Source organism: Homo sapiens, chromosome 8 (genome assembly GCF_000001405.40).
Source record: "Homo sapiens chromosome 8, GRCh38.p14 Primary Assembly".
Classification (NCBI taxonomy): Eukaryota; Metazoa; Chordata; class Mammalia; order Primates; family Hominidae; genus Homo; species Homo sapiens.
Genome location: NC_000008.11, coordinates 42,327,673 through 42,349,626, shown reverse-complemented (window position 1 = coordinate 42,349,626; position 21,954 = coordinate 42,327,673). Strand labels below are relative to the sequence as shown.

General features: G+C 43.6%; 2 protein-coding genes and 1 pseudogene across 26 annotated transcripts in view, besides 1 other annotated feature; 1 reads left to right on the top strand and 2 right to left on the bottom strand.

Annotated features, from left to right (window-relative positions):
- The window catches only part of POLB (DNA polymerase beta), a 33,315-nt gene extending 22,182 nt beyond the window's left edge, over nucleotides 1–11,133 (bottom strand). For 5 of the 12 annotated variants that reach the window (XR_428311.4, XM_005273535.5, XM_005273536.5 and 2 more), the window contains exons 1-4: nucleotides 10,942–11,133; nucleotides 10,558–10,615; nucleotides 4,608–4,674; nucleotides 537–611 (exon numbers count right to left, since the gene is read on the bottom strand). Coding sequence is in view for 4 of the 12 variants with exons in the window: in XM_005273535.5 (XP_005273592.1) it covers nucleotides 537–611; nucleotides 4,608–4,674; nucleotides 10,558–10,615; nucleotides 10,942–11,002 (261 nt within the window). In the remaining 8 variants the exon portion in view is untranslated. Of the gene's footprint in view, nucleotides 1–536; nucleotides 612–4,607; nucleotides 4,675–10,557; nucleotides 10,616–10,941 lie in introns of those variants that run through there. The other 7 variants (XM_017013583.2, XM_017013584.2, XM_005273540.5 and 4 more) reach the window with 4 other exon arrangements.
- On the top strand, nucleotides 6,944–7,918 carry RPL5P23 (ribosomal protein L5 pseudogene 23; annotated as a pseudogene).
- IKBKB (inhibitor of nuclear factor kappa B kinase subunit beta) overlaps nucleotides 17,167–21,954 on the bottom strand; it is a 61,159-nt gene continuing 56,371 nt past the window's right edge. For 7 of the 14 annotated variants that reach the window (NR_033818.2, NR_033819.2, NR_040009.2 and 4 more), the window contains 2 exons: nucleotides 20,413–20,503; nucleotides 17,167–18,713 (listed from right to left, as the gene is read on the bottom strand). Coding sequence is in view for 11 of the 14 variants with exons in the window: in NM_001556.3 (NP_001547.1) it covers nucleotides 18,648–18,713; nucleotides 20,413–20,503 (157 nt within the window). In the remaining 3 variants the exon portion in view is untranslated. Of the gene's footprint in view, nucleotides 18,714–19,287; nucleotides 20,504–21,954 lie in introns of those variants that run through there. The other 7 variants (XM_011544520.3, XM_011544517.3, XM_047421758.1 and 4 more) reach the window with 3 other exon arrangements.
- Nucleotides 18,489–18,989: an enhancer, noted in NCBI's record as "H3K4me1 hESC enhancer chr8:42188156-42188656 (GRCh37/hg19 assembly coordinates)". NCBI's record gives its function as "activates a minimal SCP1, AML or CMV promoter by ChIP-STARR-seq in primed H9 embryonic stem cells {active_cell/tissue: H9 hESC(primed)}" and the evidence as "EXISTENCE:reporter gene assay evidence [ECO:0000049][PMID:30033119]".

The following is a 21,954-nucleotide window of genomic DNA, read 5'->3' as shown; positions in this document are numbered from 1 at the left end:
CACGAGGTCAGGAGATCGAGACCATACTGGCTAACATGGTGAAACCCCGTCTCTACTAAAAATGCAAAAAATTAGCTGGGTGTGGTGGCGGGCGCCTGTAGTCCCAGCTACTCAGGAGGCTGAGGCAGGAGAATGGCATGAACCCAGGAGGCGGAGCTTGCAGTGAGCCGAGATCGCGCCACTGCACTCCAGCCTGGGCGACAGAGCAAGACTCCATCTCAAAAACATAAATAAAGAAATAAAGAAATTCTAAAAGATAACGATCTTTCAGTCAAAGTTTATAATCTCTTTTCTGAATAGTACTGAAAACGATGAGCCAACTCTATTACGGGTGTTAATAGTCTCTTAAATGCCACATAAAACAAGTGAACATTTTATGGAAATAACATTCAAAAAGTTAAAGCCATCAACTTCACTCACCTCATTTCCTGTGAGTCTCACTACAGTGAATGACATTGGTCACCCTGCAATGACGCTACATAGTGGCCATAAAGGCAGATACTATAATTAATGAAGTAAACAAGTTAAAATTTTACCTTTTCCAGTTTACGTAATTTTCCAGTTGCTAAAAACTCATCAATCTTTTCAGCAATTTTTGTTCCTACTCCAGGCTACATGGAAAATTAGAAATATAAAAGTCATATGAATATAATGCTTACCAAATCACTAAAAGATAAAGTAAAAAGCAGAAAATGAAAAACAAATGAATACCATGTGATAAGGTTTGAAATAAAGGACACAGAAAATTGAACCCCAGTGAAAATAAATTCTCCCGAAGACAGAATGCTTACATGAATGACAAAAGGGAAACTCTGAGAAAATAATTATATCTTATTTAAAATTAACTTTTGTTTTATGGCTACACAGTATATCATTGTATAAATGCATAATAATTTAATTAGCAAATACCCTACAGGTAAACATGTAGATTGTTTCCAATTATTTGACAGTATAATAATATTCATAAACTTCCTTTAGAACAGAGGTTGTCAAGCTCCTGCATACATCAGCATCACATGGGGGCACTTCTTAAAACACAGAATGTAAGTCCCACCCTAGAGTTTCTCATTCACCATGTCTGGAGTAGGGCCAAGAATATGCCTAAGTTCTCAGGGGACGCTGATGCTGCTGGCCTAGACACCTTGTTCTAAGAAGCGCTGCTCTGGAACTGCACATTCCAACATGGTACACTAGCCACATATGACAATTTAAGTTTAGATTAATTACAATTTAAAATTCCATTCTTCAGTCACAACATCCACGTTTCAAGAACTCAATGGCCAAATGTGGCTTGTGGTTGCTGTATTGGGCAGCACTTCTCTAGAATCTAAGTTTTGGGAGAGCAGAGATCCTGTCTTTTCATTTTTTTATCCCTAGTGACTGGCATACAGGTGATCAAAAATTATGAATTAATGAATCCTAGTAGATACATATCTCTATTACCTTCCTTAGGAAACATACGTCAAAGTGGAATTGCTAGGTCAAACGATATATACATTCTGACAAAGCAGCCTTCAGAAAGGCTGTAACAACCAACACTTTCATGGGTAGTAAATGAGGGTCCTTTTTTTCACATCTTTCTCCACACTGCATGTATTTGATGGGCACTATATAGTGTCTTGTTTAATTTGCAACTTTGGTATCAGTAAAATTGAACTTTTTTTCATGTGTATTGAAAAATGTCCTGTCCTTTTTAGTTAAACATTCAGCATGCTTAATAACAGGTGTGCCAGTTATCTCTACTGCCTCTCAGGCCTAGGTTCACTCATCAATATTCTTAATTTATTTAATGTTTAATAAATGTCCCCAAATTACTGAAAGCATATTCAAGTTTGGAAAACAGCAATTACCAGATAGAAATGAACAAAAGATTTAGGAAGCAGAATAGATTAGAAAAAGGAAACTGCTCAGGCTCATTTCCTGTATCACAATATTTTTTTAAAGGGTAATTATTTTTCCCTTTACACATAGTGCTACAATAATTTTACTCAATAACATACTGACCTCAAGCAATTCAGACCCAAGCTACTTTCTATACCAAACATTAAGGAATAAAAGACAAACTACTCATTCTGGAAATTTCAGATTTCTAGAATTACTGAGAAGTAACAGATTAGATAATCTAAGAAGAATCTATTACTTCCGTTACTAAGAAGGAATAGATTAGATAATCTAGAATAATTTCTAGAATTACTGAGGAGTAATTCTAGAATAATTTCTAGAATTACTGAGGAGTAATTCTAGAATAATTTCTAGAATTACTGAGGAGTAATTCTAGAATAATTTCTAGAATTACTGAGGAGTAATTCTAGAATAATTTCTAGAATTACTGAGGAGTAATTCTAGAATAATTTCTAGAATTACTGAGGAGTAATTCCAGAAATGGGCTAGATAGCAACTCTGTGATTCTTCAATAATTGTGAAAAGGAATAATGATGAGATTTTTACAACCAGTCTTATGCAAAAGGAATTTTGGATACCTTTGTATTCTTTTTAGGAATATACCATAAGCGCAGATTTGAGATGAAGTGTATCAGAGCTTTTCAGTTTTTCTCTAAGAAATGAGCAGGCTATTTGCAATAAACATAAAAAAGGAAGTACTGTAGGGATAAAAGAGGAAGTGAATGGAAGCAGGAGTAGTTCCTGAGACTATCAATGGGTCAGTTCACCAAGACAGAAACTCAGAATTAAAGTCTAATGTATTTATAACTTACTTGGCTAGTCTATTTAAGGAGGATATACTGATGCTGAGAACTGTCTATGCCACAAGGATTTAAAGCCTATATATCAGAGCATGATTTGTACTGAGTAGCGAAGTCAAGGTTAAGATGTGGCACATGTTGAATGTGGACAATCTGTCACTAAATCACACAATGTCCAAGATTTATGGTAATGTTATGACTCTGAAGGGCAAAAATATAACGGCAGTTATGGTCCAGTCATGGTGGCTCACACTTGTAATCCCAGCACTTTGGGAGGCTGAGGCAGGAGGATCACTTGAGCCCAAGAGTTCAAGACTAGCCTGGGCAACATAACAAGATCCAATCTCTACAAAAGAAATAAATTAAAAAAAAAATATCTGAGTGTGATGGAGCATGCCTGTAGTCCCAGCTACTCAGGAGGCTGAGGTGGGAGGATTGCTTGGCTGGGAGGGTCAAGGCTGCAGCAGTAAGCTGTGATTATGCCACCACTGCACTCCAGCCTGAGTGACAGAGCAAAATCCTGTCTCAAAAAAAAAAAAAGAAAAAAGAAAAAAAAGGGCAATTATGGCTCATCTCCTGAGAAGGTTAAAAGATAATCAAATATTAATTCTTAAATTCCAGAGGACATTTGTGAAACATTAATAGGTAAAGAACAAAAGGAGGTGATAACTATCAGGACCTGGACTACTCAAAAGGCATCTCAGGCTGGGTGCAGTGGCTCACGACTATAATCCCAGCACTTTGGGAGGCTCAAGGCAGTGGATCACCTGAAGTCAGGAGTTTGAGACCAGCCTGGCCAACACAGTGAAACCCTGTCTCTATCAAAAATACAAAAATCAGCTGGGCATGGTGGCGCATGCCTGTAGTCCCAGCTACTCGGGAGGCTGAGGCAGGAGAATCACCTGAACCCTGGAGGCGGAGGCTGCAGTGACCCAAGATCGTGCCACTGCACTCCAGCCTGAGCAACAGGGTGAGACTCCGTCTCAAAACCAACAAACAAAAAAGCCATGATAATTTGACATCTTTCACAAAAGATGAATAAGATATGGTCCTTAAATTTAAGGAACTTTGAATCATTTAGTAAGATTTAGATGAGACAACAATCTGATTGTCAATAGATAGACCATCTCAGGATATTCTCAGTGATATTACAGGTTGAGTATCACTAATCCAAAAATCCACATTCCAGAATGTCCAAAATCTGAAGCATTTTGAGTGCTGACATGACACTCAAAAGGAAATGCTCATTGGAGCATTTTGGATTTCGGATTTTTGGGTTAGGAATATTCAACCAAATACAAATATTCAAAAAAAAAATCCAAAATCCAAAATAATCTGTTCCCAAGCATTTCAGATAAGGGGTATTATATTACAAATTAACGAGGCATGTGACCCTCTAGAAACTGTGACACAGTACACAAGGCTTCGTGGAAATTACAGAGAACAGGGCTAAATGCCATAAAACAAAAGGGTCTTAATCATGTGCTTATTAGTAAGATCTCTCTGGGGAACACGCACTCCCACTAACTCACATAGGTTCCTACACCTGGGGATCAGAGAAAAATAGGTGGGACCAGATATGCTAGTGCCACTTGGTCACTCTTCTTAAAAACCAACACTCAAGTTGAAATTCAACGTGAGTACATGTATATATTGTAACAGAGAGAAAGAAAACTGTAATTACATATATTTTTAAAAATTTTAACCCATCTTCTCCCAAATGAAAACATTTTGAGCTTGAAAAAGTGTGTATGAAACAGCATGAATGTTATTCCAAGAAATCAGGAGTAGTGAAATCAGCCTGTGTGGGTCAAGGCTGCTTCAGACAGGCAAGTTTGGTTTGGTGGGAACCCACCAAATTTGGACACGTGTGAACTCTTCGATCAACATGCTAACTAAACTTACCAATTTCTTAGCTTCAGCTCCACTCTTTATTTTGTGTGGGTATTTTGCTATAACAGATGCTGCTTTTCTATAAGGAAAGAAGAAAAGGAAAACCAATTAGAAATCCATCAAGGCCTTAATTTTTCTTAAACTGGAATACATATACAAGCAAATATCTATGCTTATGCTTTCACCAAGATAACTAATTTTCTTTTTTTTTGTTTTTTTTGAGACAGTCTCCCTCTGTTGCCAGGCTGGAGTGCAGCAGCGCGATCTCAGCTCACTGGAACCTCCGCCTCCCGGGTTCAAGTGATTCCCTTGCCTCAGCCTCCCGAGTAGCTGGGACTACAGGCGCGCCTTCTTGTATTTTAGTGGAGATGATGTTTCACCATGTTGGCCAGGATGGTCTCGATCTCCTGACCTCGTGATCCACCTGCCTTGGCCTCCCAAAGTGCGGGGATTACAGGAGTGAGCCACTGCGCCTGGCCTAATTTTCTACCTCCATATGGAACTTAAAAATCAGATGAGCTGACAGACCACCTAATATATGTCTAACTTTTTTTTTTTTTTTGAGATGGAGTTTTGCTCTTGTTGCCCAGGCTGGAGTGCAATGGCGCAATCTCGGCTCACCACAACCTCCGCCTCTGGGGTTCAAGCGATTCTCCTGCCTTAGCTTCCCAAGTTGCTGGGATTATAGGTACCCGCCACCATGCCTGGCTAATTTTTTGCATTTTTAGTAGAGACAGGGTTTCTCCATGTTGGCCAGGCTGGTCTCAAACTCTGACCTCAGGTGATCCACCCGCCTCAGCCTCCCAAAGAAAGCTAGGATTACAGGTGTGAACCAGCTAGGATTACAGGCGTGAACCACCACTCCCGGCCACTTTTTTTTTTTTTTTTTTTTTTTTTGAGACGGAGTCTCGCCCAGTCTGTCGCCCAGTCTGGAGTGCAGTGGCGTGATCTCAGCTCACTGTCACCTCCGCTTCCCAGGTTTAAGCAATCCTCCTACCTCAGCCTCCTGAGTAGCTGGGATTACAGGCATGCGCCACCACATCTGGCTAATTTTTTTGTATTTTTAGTACAGACAGGGTTTCACCATGTTGGCCAGGCTCATCCCGAACTCCTGACCTTGTGATCTGCCCACCTTGGCCTCCAAAAGTTCTGGGTTACAGGCGTGAGCCACCACGCCTGGCCTACGTCTAACTTTTAAAGTATCTTGAAAAGCTCCACATTTGAGAATAACTGAATTTAAACTCTATACGTCAAAGAGTATGATTTGTACTGAGTAACAAAGTGATTTGTTTTGATTTGTGCTGAGTAACAAAGTGATTTAAACTGTATACATAATACTCAAGGGATGGGGAGACCAGCTGTCTTTCTTTGGGAGTAAGTAGAAATCATCATTGGGCCCCCTTTTTTAAAATAGCTAGTTTTTAGAAATTGTTCATAACTTCCTCATAAAAATGTGCCACATGTGAATTATTAGACACCAGATCTGCTTATGGATACCTATGTTACTTTTTTTTTGAGATGGAGTCACCCAGGCTGGAGTGCAGTGGCGCCATCTTGACTCACTGTAGCCTCTGCCTCCCAGGTTCAAGCAATTATCCTGCCTTAGCCTCCTGAGTAGCTGGGATAACAGGTGTATGCTACCACACCTGGCTAATTTTGTGTATATATATATATATATATATATATTTTTTTTTTTTTTTTTTTTTTTTTGAGACGCAGTCTTGCTCTGTCTCCCAGACTGGAGTGCAGTGGCGCAATCTCGGCTCACTGCAAGCTCCGCCTCCCGGGTTCATGCCATTCTCCTGCCTCAGCCTCCTGAGTAGCTGGGACTACAGGCACCCGCCACCACGCCTGGCTAATTTTTTGCATTTTTAGTAAAGACGGGGTTTCACCATGTTAGCCAGGATGGTCTCGATCTCCTGACCTCGTGATCTGCCTGCCTTGGCCTCCCAAAGTGCTGGGATTACAGGCGTTAGCCACTGCGCCCAGCCAATTTTATATTTTTAGTAGAGACAGGTCTTCACCATGTTGGCCAGGCTGGTTTCCAACTCCTGACCTCAAATGATCCACCTGCCTCGGTCTCCCAAAGTGCTAGGATTACAGGCATGAGCCACCACACGCAGCCCTTGGATAGCTATTTTAAAATTCATAGTTTCAAACTGCATTCCCTTATGTCCCTATATCAATTTATTTTTTTTTAATGCAGATGGGATGTTGCTATGTTGCCCAGGTTGGTCTTGAACTCCTGGGTTCATGCCATCCACCCGCCTTGGCATCCCAAAGTGGTGGGATTACAGACGTGAGCCACTGTGCCTGGCCCCTACATCAGTTTTTAAAAATTGCTCCCGCCTTTCCACCCCCTAGTGCTGCTGGGCCTGCAGGTCTCTGTTCCACAGGATGGACTTTGTTAAAGTTGTTAAGAATAAGGCCTACTTTAAGAGATACCAAATGAAACTTAAAGATGACAAGATGGTAAAACTGATTACTATGCTCAGAAACGCTTGGTAATACAGGATAAAAATAAATACAACACACCCAAATAGAGGATGATAGTTCATATAACAAACAGAGATATCAATTGTCAGATTGCTTATGCCCGTATAGAGGGGGATATGATAGTCTGCGCAGCATATGCACACGAACTGCCAAAATATGGTGTGAAGGTTGGCCTGACAAATTATGCTGCAACATATTGTACTGGCCTGCTGCTGGCCCACAGGCTTCTCAATAGGTTTGGCATGGACAAGATCTATGAAGGCCAAGTGGAGGTGACTGGCGATAATACAATGTAGAAAGCATTGATGGTCAGCCAGGTGCTTTCACCTGCTATTTGGATGCAGGCCTTGCCAGAACTACCACTGGCAATAAAGTTTTTGGTGACCTGGATGGAGGCTTGTCTATCCCTCAAAGTACCAAATGATTCCCTGGTTATGATTCTGAAAGCAAGGAATTCAATGCAGAATTACACCAGAAGCACAACATAGGCCAGAATGTTGCAGATTACATGCACTACTTAATGGAAGATAAAGATGCTTACAAGAAACAGTTCTCTCAATACATAAAGAATAGCATAACTTCAGACATGATGAAGGAGATGAAAGCTCATGCTGCTATAGGAGAGAATCCAGTCTATGAAAAGAAGCTCAAGAAAGAAGTTAAAAAGAGGTGGAACCATCCCAAAATGTCCCTTGCTCAGAAGAAAGATCGCATAGCTCAAAAGAAGGCAAGCTTCCCCACGGCTCAGGAGGGGGCTGCAGAGAGCTAAACCAAACAATTTTCTACGAGGATTTTTCAGATAAAGACAATAAACTTATGGACAGAAAAAAAAAATTGTTCCCACTGCAGTTCAGCATAAAGCGGTGACCTGTAATTCTTGCCCACCTCCACACATATCCAGTTTGTTAATCTGGTGACAGATTGGATACACCCTGGGAGCTCGCTGACGGTATTCTGTCTATAATTTCAATGCAAAATGTAATTCAGAGTTGATGCTGATGAGAAGTGACAGTACAGCTAAGTCAAAAGCATAAACACTGGATAGTCTTTGGAACCTTGGATTTGCATTCTGTTATAGCACAAATAACCCTTTATATTTGGATTTGAACTTCTCTCTAAGCACATGACTGATGATGAATCTGAAAAGACATATTTATAAGTAAAGGAGCAGGCAAACACAGTTTATGGAGGGGATCATTTCAGGAAAGGCAAGTAGTTCCAGGTCATTGGCACTGTGAGGCAAAGCCTAAAAGGGAAGAAGAATCAGATGAAAGGCCTTTTGTATGCTATGATGTATTTGGGTTTTATCAAGGTAAAGAGAAAATATTATTTAATTATTTGACTGACAAGATCAGATAACTATTTTCAAAAGAATACTTTGGCCACAATCAACAGAAATGTCTACTGGGGTAGGGAGGAGCATGCAGGAGTGGTAGGGAATCACCTGCTTTTCCAGACTTATTTCCCACTCATACCATACCCGTTAAGCAAACTGAACATCTGACTTCCAGAAAACGTTATACCCTTCATGTCTCAATGCTTTGGCACATTTTATTTGTCTAGACTGCTGGCCCTCTCACTTATCCCGATGAGCTTCTTCAAACTAAACACCTCCTTTCTGAGACCTGCTGTGATCCAAATAGAATACAAAGTTGAATATCTCTGTAATTTTGAATCATCAAATGTATGGATGATAATACAATTATTTTACTTTACAGAGGAAGTCACAGAAGTAAGGAAAGGAGGGAGCACAATCAGCTCTGAACTGTGTGGAGTGGGAATGGAAGAAGGGAGCTGACTTGGGATAAAGACAGTATAGGGCTAAAAATGTGGAAAAAAGTCCAGTGATACACAGATTTGGAGTCACTGACATAAGTGGCATTTCAAAGTCAAGAATGGCAAGATTGCCAGGGAAACTACAGAAGTAAGAAAAGAGGGCTAAGGGCAGGCAGACTCCCCGGAACCACAGGTTAACTATCCCTTATCTGAAATGCCTGGGACCAGCATTGTTTCAGATTTTGAATTTTTTTCAGGGTTTGGAATATTTGCGTATACATAATAAGATATCTTAGGGATATGGGAGATACAAGTCTAAATACAAAATTCAGTCATATTTCTCACACACCTTACGCACATACCCTGAAGGTAATCTTATATAGTCGTTTTAATAATTTTGTGCATGAAACAAAGTTTTGACCATTTTGACTGCCACCTACTACATGAGATCGGATGTGGAATTTTCCACTTGTGTCATCATGTCGGCAATCATCCAGATTTTAGAGCATTTCAAATTTTCAGATTAGGGATGCTCAACCTATACCAACATTAAAAGGTAAGACAGAAGAAGAGATGAAAGACCAGAAAGAGTGCCATTACAGAAGTCAAGAGATATTCACAGCATGAGCCAGGGGTGAATGCCACAGAGAGTCCAATAAGATGAGACGTAGGTGAGCGGATTTTCAGAGCACTGGTAGGTCCAGGCAAGGACTGGGACTTCTTGAGTAAATGATTAGGTATTAAGAAGTCCAGGCAAGGAATGAAGATTTTTCAAGAAGATTCACCATAAAGTGAGAAAAGAGGGAAGGTGCTAGCTAGAGGGAAGTTAAGATTGTTTTGGTTTTGCTTTTAAGAGCTGAGGGACTTGCACATATTTATAGGCTAAGGAGAGCTGACACCGAGGCTGATGCCTGGAATCCCAGCACTCTGGGAGACCAAGGTGTGTGGACCATTTGAGTTTAGGAGTTGGAGATCAGCCTGGGCAACATAGCAAAACCCGGTCTCTACAAAAAAAAAAAGAAAAAAAAAGAAAGAAAAAAAAATTAGCTGGGTGTGGTGGCGTGCGCCTGTAGTAGTCCCAGCCACTCAGGAGGCTGAGATGGGAAGATCACTTGAGGCTGGAAGGTTGAAGCTGCAATGAGCCATGATCATACCACAGCGAGACCCCGTCTCAAATAAAAATAAATAAATAAATAAATATAGGCTAAGGAGTAGAAGCAGGTGGATGTGGAAAGAATGAATAGGATAAGGCCCCTGGTGAGATGAACAAGGACAGGATCCCATGAACAAGGAACAAGGATCAGGATCAGGATCCCACAGGATCAACTTTAGACCAACCAAAAGAAAAAATGTGATTCCTTGAACCACATATATTTCACAGTATGGACTTCATCCGCTGTCTTTCATTACGGTTAAAATTACACCGCATTTCTAGTAATTCATGTTTGATGATGACAAAATACGTATCAGGCTACAGCTATCTGCAATCAGAATTGGGAACTTATCTGAACTGATCCTATAACGCACTGCCCACATTCTTCAAGAAATAGTAAGGTACCAGCCTCGATTCTTGCTTTTTCCCGCTCTTGCAGATGGACCAAATATCCACTGGGCCCTCAGTCCTGTTAATTGCCACACTAAACAGGGTATCCCAGAACGTATGCTACCCGAGAATGCTGCACTGTCCCACCTGTAAGCATTGTACTTGTGGATAGCTTGGCTCACGTTCTTCTCAAAGTTTGCGAGTTCTGAAAGGCAACAGAAGGCTCGGGTGAACAAGAACCACGAGTAAACAAACGAGAACTGTTTTCTGGAAGGGGATATGGCAGCCTCTAAGAGACAGTGACCACCCGTTTCCTCCAAGGGCCAGACCAAAAGCAGCCCAAGCGATGGCCCAGGTGTAGCCGGCAGGACTGACAACCAGCCAGGGGCGCCGGAGGGAGATCCCCACGGAAGACGACCCGCTGCAAGGAACCTACCCTACCCACTGGACTGTCGGTGTGGGAGAGAAGGAAGGCAGGGGAAGAGGCTGGAAGGAAAGAAGAAAGCCAGCGGGGCCCGGCCCGGTGCTAACCTGTGAGCATGTCGGTGATTCCCCCGTTGAGAGTCTCCTGCGGCGCCTTCCGTTTGCTCATGGCGGCCTGCACCCGAGAACCCCAGAGTGTTCAGAACCAGGGACTAGAGCCCTCTCCCAGCTTGAAGGAGGTACCAGGACTTGGAGACGGGAGCAGGAGCAACCCAGCTCCGGCGCGACCGGCGGAACAATGGTTGCCCCCGATGGGGGGCGGGGCGCACGGCGCTTGTTGTGACGTCACGCGTCCTGGGCGGGGCGGGGCGGGGCTAGAGGGGCGAGCCCTCGGCAGGTGAGGAGAGAGAACTCGGAGGGTTCGTGGACTCGTGGACGTGGACACGGCGCGGGGGAAATAGGCACCTCAGAATGACAGCCCAGGGGCCTTCCTATGGGAAGACCTGGAGTTTTGACCTAAGATATTAAATCTGTTTTCTCAGTGTTTATCTGGAATCCTTTCCCTAGAAGGGGAAACGGGAGTGCGATCTTGATTCTGAAATACTTGCGCTGGTGGGGTAGCTTCCTGCACAAAAATGTGCACTGTAATAGCTACCCAATGCATGGCGCGTTTTGTACGTGGTTAGAGGCGACACTGGCGTCACACTGTCAAAACTTTCTCTAAGGATACCGGGCAGTCCACACTCCAGTGCAGCCCCTTACGTACTAGGGCGCTGCCGGAGCCCGGCGTGAACCATGCCGAGAACAGGAATCCTCCCGCACACGTGTTAGTACACCTGCCAACCAGTGTCAAAAGATATTTTATTTTTAATCCCCCTGCCTTTGCGGTAGGGACCAAATTAATGAAGAGACCACAAGAAAGGGAGAAGTGTTTCATCTAGATCATGAGCAATGGAACCCTAATTATAACATGATGACCTACATCTGAGAAATTTACAGTCTGCTTGAGAAATGGAAATGTCACATCAGCAATAGTTTATTTTACAAGCGTAACTCCTGGGTTCATATCGAACTGCAATTCCAGGCAATTGCTTTGTGCATCGAAAAATTAAAATTTATTACAAAATGATACGTAGTTGCTGTAGAGAAATCTGGAAAAATGTATAAAAGGAGAAAATTAAAATCAGTGATCTCACCCTACAGCTGAACTATTAATATTTTGGGACGTACACTTCTAGTCTTCTAACCCAGTCTATTAAAAATTCCCATTATTTTCCAATAAATATCATTAGTTTCTTTGATTAGCAAGGTTGTGGTGATTGTGTTTCCTTACAATATCAGTGTATATCTTAAGTTATGCTTATTGGAAATCTGTAATTCTTCTTTTTTTGAATTTCCTATTCATATCATTTACCATTTTCCTAATGGGGGTAGTTTGTTACTAATCTGGTAGATCTTTTCTATATATTACTACTTGCCCTTTTATGGATAGCTTTTGTAAAAATTTTGTACATATTTGTATTTTCCTCAATTTATTACTTGAGGAATAAAAGTTAAAAAAACTTTATGCCTGCAACTTAACTATCTGATTAGTTAAGCTGCAGTGAGCAGTGACCACTCTCATTTACTCTTTATACTCTCATTTACATATATGACTTGTCCTAGTTTTCCCTGTTCACACTTTTTTCTGTCCAATCTCTATTCCAGGTGATATTCAGATTATTTTGCTCTGAAGAATTATTCCTCCTTAAATAAAAATGTATTTACCTCTGAATTTTAAAAGTTACAAATGTAGGGAATTGTGGGATCAGTTTTACAAATTTTTTTGTTTTGAGACAGAGTTTCACTCTTGTCCCGCAGGCCAGAGTGCAATGGCACGATCTCGGCTCACTGCAACCTCTGCCTCCCGGGTTCAAGTGATTCTCCTGCCTCAGCCTCCCGAGTAGCTGGGATTACAGGATCCTGCCACCATGCCCAGCTAATTTTTGTATTTTTAGTAGAGATGGGGTTTCACCATGTTGGCCAGGCTGGTCTCAAACCCCTGACCTCAAGTGATCCACCCGCCTTGGCCTATTAAAGTGCTAGATTACAGGCGTGAGCCACTGCACCTAGCCCATTTTTACAAATACTATATTTTTAAAATTAGTGCCAGAGAAACCAAGGAAAATAATCCATTATCTGTCCTTATCGTCTTAGAACAACCGACATTTGATCTGCTTCACAAAGTTCTTCTTGAAATAACTTGCTTCAATTGGCTTCTAAGATTCCACATGCTCTGGGCTTCCTTTTTCCTCACTGGCCAGTCCTCAGCAGGGTGTGTGTGTGCGCACATGTGCGCCTGAGCACTGGTTCCCAGCTCCTCCTCCACTCTCCAGCCTTTATGGGAAATGGCTTCACACTTCAGTCTTCTAACCAGCTTTTCCAACTTGTCCAGTTTTACCTGTTTAAATGGCATGTCTAGCTTGAAAGTCTCCTAAACTCATAGTTCAAGTCTTGACCTCTCCCTTGAGTTCCAGTCTCATACATCAGGCTGTCTACTGGATAGCTCTAGTCCATAATAGGCATCTCAAAGATAAAATGTCCTAAAGAACTCCTGACTCTTGCCCCACCAGCTTCTCCTTAACTTTCCCCCATCTCAGTTAATAGCATTTTAATCCACCCTGCTATCAGGCCAAACCCATAAGAGTCATTTTTAATTGCTCTTTTCACACCCCACATCCCGTCTGCCAGCAGACCTTGTCTGTTCTGTCTCAGGAATATGTGCTGAACTGGATGACCTCTCATCCCGAGCTGCCACTGCCCTAGATCAAACTCCCATGACCTCCTGAACTGTTACCAAAGCCTCCTCAGTGGGCTTCCTGCTTCTGCTCTTGTCCTCTTATAGAATATTCCCCAAACAGAGGGTGATCTTTTTAGGATGTAGTATCAAAATATGTCCCTATTTATACACCCTCCCACTGCACTTAGGATAAAATCCAAGCTCCTGGCGGGGCGCAGTGGCTCACACCTGTAATTCCAGCACTTTGGGAGGCTGAGGCAGGCGGATCACCTGAGGTCAGGAGTTCAAGGTCAGCCTGGCCAACATGGTGAAACCCCATTTCTACTAAAAATACAAAAATTAGCCAGGCGTGGTGGTGGGCGCCTGTAATCCCAGCTACTTGGGAAGTTGAGGCAGGGAGGTTGAACCCTGGAGGTGGAGGTTGCAGTGAGCCAAGATCGGGCCACTGCACTCCAGCCTGGGCAACAAGAGTGAGTCTCCAAAAAAAAAAAAAAAAAAAAAAAAAAATCCAAGCTCCTTTTCATGGCCCACAAGGCCTTATGTGATCCACCTCCTGCCTGCTCTCCTACTGCATTTCTTGCCACTTTTCTCATTGTTTAGGACACACACACGCCCATATTTCATACATACATGTGCCTGCTCAGCATTGTCCCCTCATTGTATGGTTCTTTCCCTGGCTGCCTTCTTCTCATCATTCAGGTCCCAGCCTGGCAGTCACACCCTTGTCACGTTCCTGGACCAGGCCCAGGTTTTTACTTGTGTGTTTCCTTCACAGTACTAAGAAGGACTGGAAATATTCACACGTGGTTGCACATTATGCACTCCCTGCTCACTCCTCCTCCCACCAATGTGCAATGCCAGCTCCACGGGAGAAGGGACTTAATTTTTGTTTCCACGTAAGTACTCAATAAAGTTAATAACTTAAATTGCAGTTTTGCTGAAGTGTCAAACACGGCCACCTGTAATCCCAGCACTCTGGGAGGTGGAGGCAGGAGGATCGAGCCCAGGAGTTCAAGACCAGACTGGGCAACATGGCGAGACCCCATCTCTTTTACAAAAATAAGAAAAATGTACTGGGTGTGGTGGCACGAAGAGATGAAGCATGGGACTCTTGGACTCATTCAACCATCTCAGTAGAAGTCAGGAATAGAGATGGGATTATCCCAGAAAATTTGTGGAGGACCCTCTTGTCTAATGGCATTGAACTCCATGACATTACACAGGGGACCCACAAGATTTTTGAGAATGTTACATCAGCAGAGACAGCTTAGCCTGGAAGTGACAGAGACAGTGTGAAATGAGAAAAGGCTGTTGAAATCCAAACTGCTACGGGCAAGAAATGGGCTGATAGAGCTACTGGGCTGCAAACATGCGATCCTTCAAGAAAAAGCAAGAATGACTCCAAGGGCAGAGCCAGGGGCACAGAGGCAGAGGCCAGAGGAGCAGACAGAAGTGATGGATGCAGAGACACAGGCCTATGAGGTCACTGTGAGCACAGACTCAGAGGCCTATGGAGCCACCATGGGTACAGAGAGGCCCATGGTTCTGCTGTGAGCAGACACAAAGGTCTGCACAACTGTTGTGGGCCCAGTGGGCGGCACTTCAAGCTAGGGAATTATTTGCAGGCCTTGAATCCTAATGGAATTTTCTCTGCTAGATCAAAATTGGTTGGGAATGGTGACTTCTTTATCCCTTCCAATTTTCCCTTTCAGAATGAGAACATCTATCATATGCCTATTACATCATTTTAAATAAATTTATTTATCCAAATTCCAAAGTTATTTGGAAGCTGATAACCTGTAGTATCACAGGTCCACAGCCAGAGAAATTTAATCCTAAAATGAATCATGCACGGGGTCTCACCCACATCTGACTTAGATGATGAGATGCAGGACTTCTGAGCTAATATATAGATGCAAATTTGGTCTTAGTTCATGCTGTATGAGTTGAGACTTTGGGAGATGTTGGGAGGAATAAATGTCTTTTTCATGTAGGACAAATATGGATTTTGGGGTGCCAGAGGGTGGACTGTAGTGGGCTGAATGGTGGCCCCCAAGAAGATGTCCACATCATAATCTCCAGAGCCTGTGAACATTACCTCATATGGCAAACTGTGATTACATGAAACATCTTGAGACAAAGTGCTTACCCTGGATTTTTCAAATTGGCTCTAAATCCAATGGCAAGTATTCTTGTAAGAGATACACAGCAGAGATGTGACAGAGAAAGCGGCAGCAATATGACCCAGGGGCAGAGATGCAGTCACAAGCCAAGGATTGCCTAAAGCCAACAGAAGCTGGACGCCACCAGGGATAGAACCTCCCTAGAGCCTTCAGAAGAGGTGTGATCCTGTTCACACCTTTATTTCAGACTTCTGGCCTCCGGAACTGGGAGAGAATAAGTTTCTGTCATTTAAGCCACCAAAGTTGTGGTAACTAGCTAGGGCAGGTCTAGGAAACTAACGCAGGTAGAGAGAGCAGGCTTTCTTGTCTGTGCCCATTGGTTGGCTTCTCCAGCACTCATATCTTTTTTTTTTTTTTTTTTTGAGACAGAGTCTTGCTCTGTCACCCATGCAGTGGCATGATCTTGGCTCACTGCAACCTCCGCCTCCCGGGTTCAAGCGATTCTCCTGCCTCAGCCTCCTGAGTAGCTGGGATTACAGCCGCATGCCACCACACCCGGCTAATTTTTGTATTTTTAGTAGAGGCGGGGTTTCACCATGTTGGTCGGGCTGGTCTCAAACTCCTGACCTCCTGATCCGCCCGCCTTGGCCTTCCGAAGCCAGCACTCAACCTTGAGACAAAAAGAAAAGCCACGGAATAACTACCAGAGTCCTTCCTCAGATCCCAAGGTCCAGGGATAGTCTTCCGTCTTATCTCTACCTTTCAGAGTCTTGTGTTTGTTTATGTGACCAAGGAGTTTAGCTGTACTTACTGAGAGGAAAAAATGTATCTATCTAATCTTTTTGGAAGCAGACATACTAACTCCTGGATTTTCACTTTTTTTTTTTTTTTTTGAGACAAAGTTTCGCTCTTTTTGCCCAGGCTGGAGTGCAATGGCACAATCTCTGCTCACTGCAACCTCTGCCTCCTAGGTTCAAGCGATTCTCCTGCCTCAGCCTCCCGAGTAGCTGGGATTACAGGCATGTCCCACCACGCCTGGCTTTTGTATTTTTAGTAGAGACGGGGTTTCTCCATATTGGTCAGGCTGGTCTCGAACTCCCGACCTCAGGTGATCTGCCTGCCTCAGCCTCCCAAAGTGTTGGAATTACAGGCGTGAGCCACCGCGCCCGGCCTGGATTTTCACTTTTTAATCAATTACACTGTTTCAGCCATAAACTTTTTTTTTTTCCATTTTTTTTCTTTCTTTTCACAACTTGTCCTGTAACTGAACAGCCATAAACTTTTAAAATGACTGCTTTGGTTGGCATTTTCTTCGTCAAAATTCTTCAGTGGCTCAGTTGCCTGTAACATAAGCTCACAGCCCTTAGCCCAACATCCTTTCCCTCCCCAATCTGCCCGTCCTTGCCTTTCGGGTGTTATTTCCCACTGTCATTTACCAGGGTTTCCAAAATTGTGCTTTATTAAATGCTAGTTCATTGGAATGTTAATACATGTTTCACACACACAATCAGCAGGAGAAAATGTTTCTATAGCCAAATGACATTGATAAACAGTGTTCTTACACAAAGTTAAGCCTGTTTCTTTATTATAAGACTTTTCAGATACTTTCCCAGTGCATAGTGTGAATCTCCACAAAGCAAGTGAAACATGAATAGCTCCCTAAACTTACTTGACCACAGAATGCTTCATTCTATCTCCATGGAAACCACTTGTGAAAGTCTCCTACTCCAACTTTCTTCTCCAACAAAACTCACCTGTTTGTGATCATCTGAACTCATTTTGTGCTCTTGCCTTTATATAAAAGAGAAGTTCTGTGAAATGTTGAAGAAGCAGGGTTATGGCACTAGTAATGATCCAGGCACTATACAAATTGTTAAAATTTTCCATTATTTTAGTTCAGAAGCCCTAACCATAGGTATTCTAACAGTGGATTGTGGAACCCAGTATGAGTGTTTGAGACATGTTACAAAATATAGGAGCTATTTTTAAAATGAATCCATTTAATAATACTGCTAGATGCTGTGAGAGACAGGGACTCCCCGGCCCAGCACACACGCTTGAGCAGGAATGGAGACATGGGCATGGGTAGGCAGGCTGGTGGTCAGCAGATACCCTTTCTGTCCCTCCTCTGTGACAATCACCCCCAAGTAATTTTTGGGATTCAGAATAAGGCAGCTGCTCTCCCATCCTGGTTACTATGAGTCGCTCTTGGCAGAAAGGACCACAGATGGAGAGCTTGGCACTCGCTCCAACTTTGCCGAAAAGAGGACAACCACCAAAGTAGTAGGTAAAAACACAATTTTAGCAGCAGTGAAATAAAAAGAGGAAGTGAGGATGGGGCCAGGCCGCAACTATAATTAAACTGTCTGTTTAGGAGAAGCTGAATCCAGAAGAAACACAAGCTGTAAAGTGAGAGAGGACAGGGAGCAGGGCCTTTGGAGAGCAGGAGAGGACAGGCTGTCACCAAGCGCTGCTCGGACTCTGCCCTGAAAGATTTGAATTGGACACTGTCCAGTCACGTGTGTGGCAAACCGTACTCCAAGCACTTTTCTCACGGCAGAGGAAGGAGCTGCCATGGCTGTACCCCTGAACGTTTGTGGGGCCAGCGATGTGCGCTGGGCCTCTGTAATGGAGGACCTCCAGTGTGCAGACAAGGCGCCGGCAGTGCCCACGGAGGGCTGCGTCCTGGGTCCTGGGTGAAAGTCACAGCTGCTGAGGAAGCGAGAGCTCCATCTGGATACCAGAGACCCCTGGGCCATCAGTGCAGCAGGAACCACCATGTGAGAGCCGCGGCCAGGCAGCCCCACGTCACGCGGCCTGCTCCAGGCAGCCCCATGTCAGGGGGTCGAGTCCCCCCACTGCACAAGGCCTGCTATGGGCTGCCCCATGTCAGGGGGTCGAGTCCCCCCACATCATGAGGCCTGCTCCAGGCAGCTGTGCTCTTCTTCTTCCGTCTGTAACCAGCTCCAGTCTAGGGCCTGAAAGTCAACAGACATGTTAAAAAAACAACAGCCACCAACACATTTCAGGTTATTTTTCCTCTTCAGGAGGAAATCAGGACAATTGAGAAATATACTAAAACCCAGCCAGGCACAGTGGCTCATGCCTATAATCCCAACACTTTGGGAGGCCAAGGTGGGCAGATCATGAGGTCAGGAGTTCGAGACCAGCCTGGCCAAAATGGTGAAACCCCATTTCTACTAAAAATACAAAATTAGCCAGGCGTGGTGGCAAGCTCCTATAGTCCCAGCTACTCAGGAGGCTGAGGCAGGAGAATCACTTGAACCTGGGAGGTAGGGGTTGCAGTGAGCTGAGATCGTGCCATTGCACTCCACCCTGGGCAAAAGAGCAAGACTCCATCTCAAAAAATAAAAAATAAAAAGAAATATATTGAAACCCCTTTATTGGCTGGGTATGGTGGCTCATGCCTATAGTTCCAGCACTTTGGGAGGCAGAGGCGAGCGGATCGCTTGAGGCCAGGAGTTCAAGACCAGCCTGGGCAACATAGCAAGACCCAGGCTGCATAAAACAAATAAATTAAACAAATACAAATTAAAAAGCCAAACCCTTTTATTAATAAATCTTGTGACTGCAGGGTACTCTTAAGCTAAGTTACATATTCAAACTGTACAGGATCTTTTCTTTGAATTGGCTCAGAGTCCTTGAGATTCTGTGACTGTGGGAATTAGAAAGTCGACGTCAGTACCACTGTGGCTCACAGCACTCACTCCCATGCTCACTGTGGGTAGCTAATCTCAGTTATGGATTTCCAGCCTCACCACATGACTTGGCCTGATGAGACTTCCTCTTCCTCCCACAGACATGCAAGTAAGCAATGAACTGATCAAAACATTATCATGCCAGGAGGAGGAGAGCAGCAAGAGATATAGAATGTCCACAGACTGGAGGAGGACATGCGACTACATCAGCAAAGGCTGCAATTCACAGTGGTATCCCTTGTAATTCTTCCAAAAGCTTAAAGTTAGGGGAGGTTAGCAAGTGATTAGCAGGTAAAGGCCATGTAAAGATCTAAGCAAATGATGCAGGATTCTCTCAACAATGGAAGCTTTGTCTTAATGTACCTGTAACTTGGCTAGTTTTCTCATAACTAGTACTACCTACCACTAAGCTCCAAGGCCCTGAGGACAAGGCCATGGCTGGTTCCTGCTCCCAGCCCAGCACTCAACACACAAATACTCAGCAGTAGTACCAATGGTGCAGGTGGGGACAGGCTTCTGGGAACAATGCTACCTTCTTCCTCATCATCGGAATTAAGTGTTCCAAGGATTAAATAAGATAATGCATACATGTAGTTGTAAGCCTTCAATAATTGTTAGACATCACTATTATTATGAATAATAAAAAATGTGTACTAGAAAATTATAAATATACACTGAAAAAATCAGCTGAATGTGGTGACGCACGCCTGTAGTCCCAGCTACTCAGGAGGCTGAGGCATGAGAATCACTTGAACCCGGGAAGCGGAGGTTGCAGTGAGCCAAGATCATGCCACTGCACTCCAGCCTGGGTGAGAGAGAGAGACCCTGTCACAAATAAACAAGCAAACAAACAAACACTGAGGTTGAGGATAATGCCAGATTGCATTTCCATTTTCTCTTCTATTTTGCCATAGAAAGAAAGGACATGGAATCGCAGGAGTCTCACACAAGCTGTTACCGTGAAACTCTGGTCTTGTTCCCTCACAGTGTCCTGTATGGCATTTTCTAGCAGGGTGCAGAGGTTATGTGCTTCAGCCACCAGTTCTTCACTAAAGAAAATGATCAAATTATTAGAAAGTGGTCATTATTAGTTATCAGAGCTAACACTGCTATTTTAAAATATGCTAGAGAGTTTTGATAATACTTTTTAAATGAAGTAACAATTATTTTGATCCTGAGTGTCTTAAAACACCAACCCACTGACTAATACTTTCATTCATCTTGTTATGCACTTTCCACATATGAGCGTTACTGTCCAAAATGCAAAAAAGCAAACAGATCTCAATAAAAGTCAGAAGCAAAAAAACCTCTTTCTGCTTTCTGACTTACTAGATAGCTGAATTTAATTTTCAAACTGCCAAAATCTAAAGATATTCTCCAAATCACCTGTTTTCCAATTTTTGAAGTAGACAAAAAAAAGGCCAAGGAATTTATCAGGATTCACAGTTCCTTGGAATCTGTTGAAAATCAAGTTCTGGGATTTGGTTTCATCTAATCTGATCTCTCTCTTTTCTATAATAAGAAACCCATGTTTCCTCTGAGGACTGGGCCACAGTGAAAAAGAGCAGCATGTAGTAAAACATCCGTCTTTTTCTAACCTCAGCTCTATGCTGTGGGGAGACGAGAGACATCCTATATACCCAGGTCCACCTTTCTAGACCTTTGAGGACATCACTGAAGGGAATAAGCCACATAAAGGAAGACTGCCCTGGAACTCCTCTCACTCTGCAAAATGTGACAATCTGATGGCAGGAGCTCAGAGCACATTTCTGCCAAGCCTCATCTATGGGGCCTCTAGCTAGCCTAAAGGCTCAGTGCCTGCCCCAGAAGGGAATGGAACAGGCTCCCGGTCTAGCTACTATACTCCAGGAGCTCATGAGAGGTTGGGGAAATAATTTTTATTTAAAAAAAAAAAAAAAAAAAAAGGGCCGGGTGCGGTGGCTCACGCCTGTAATCCCAGCACTTTGGGAGACCAAGGCGGGCGGATCACCCAAGGTCGGGAGTTCGAGATCAGCCTGACCAACAGGCTGGAGAAACCCTGTCTCTAATAAAAATACAAAATTGGCCGGGCGCGGTGGCTCACGCCTGTAATCCCAGCACTTTGGGAGGCCGAGGCGGGTGGATCATGAGGTCAGGAGATCGAGACCATCCTGGCTAACAAGGTGAAACCCCGTCTCTACTAAAAATACAAAAAATTAGCCGGGCGCGGTGGCGGGCGCCTGTAGTCCCAGCTACTCGGGAGGCTGAGGCAGGAGAATGGCGTGAACCCGGGAAGCGGAGCTTGCAGTGAGCCGAGATTGCGCCACTGCAGTCCGCAGTCCGGCCTGGGCAACAGAGCGAGACTCCGTCTCAAAAAAAAAAAAAAATACAAAATTAGCCAGGCCTGGTGGCTCATGCCTGTAATCCCAGCTACTCGGAAGGCTGAGGCAGGAGAATCGCTTGAACCCAGGAGGCTGAGTTTGAGGTGAGCTGAGATCGTGCCATAGCACTCCAGCCTAGG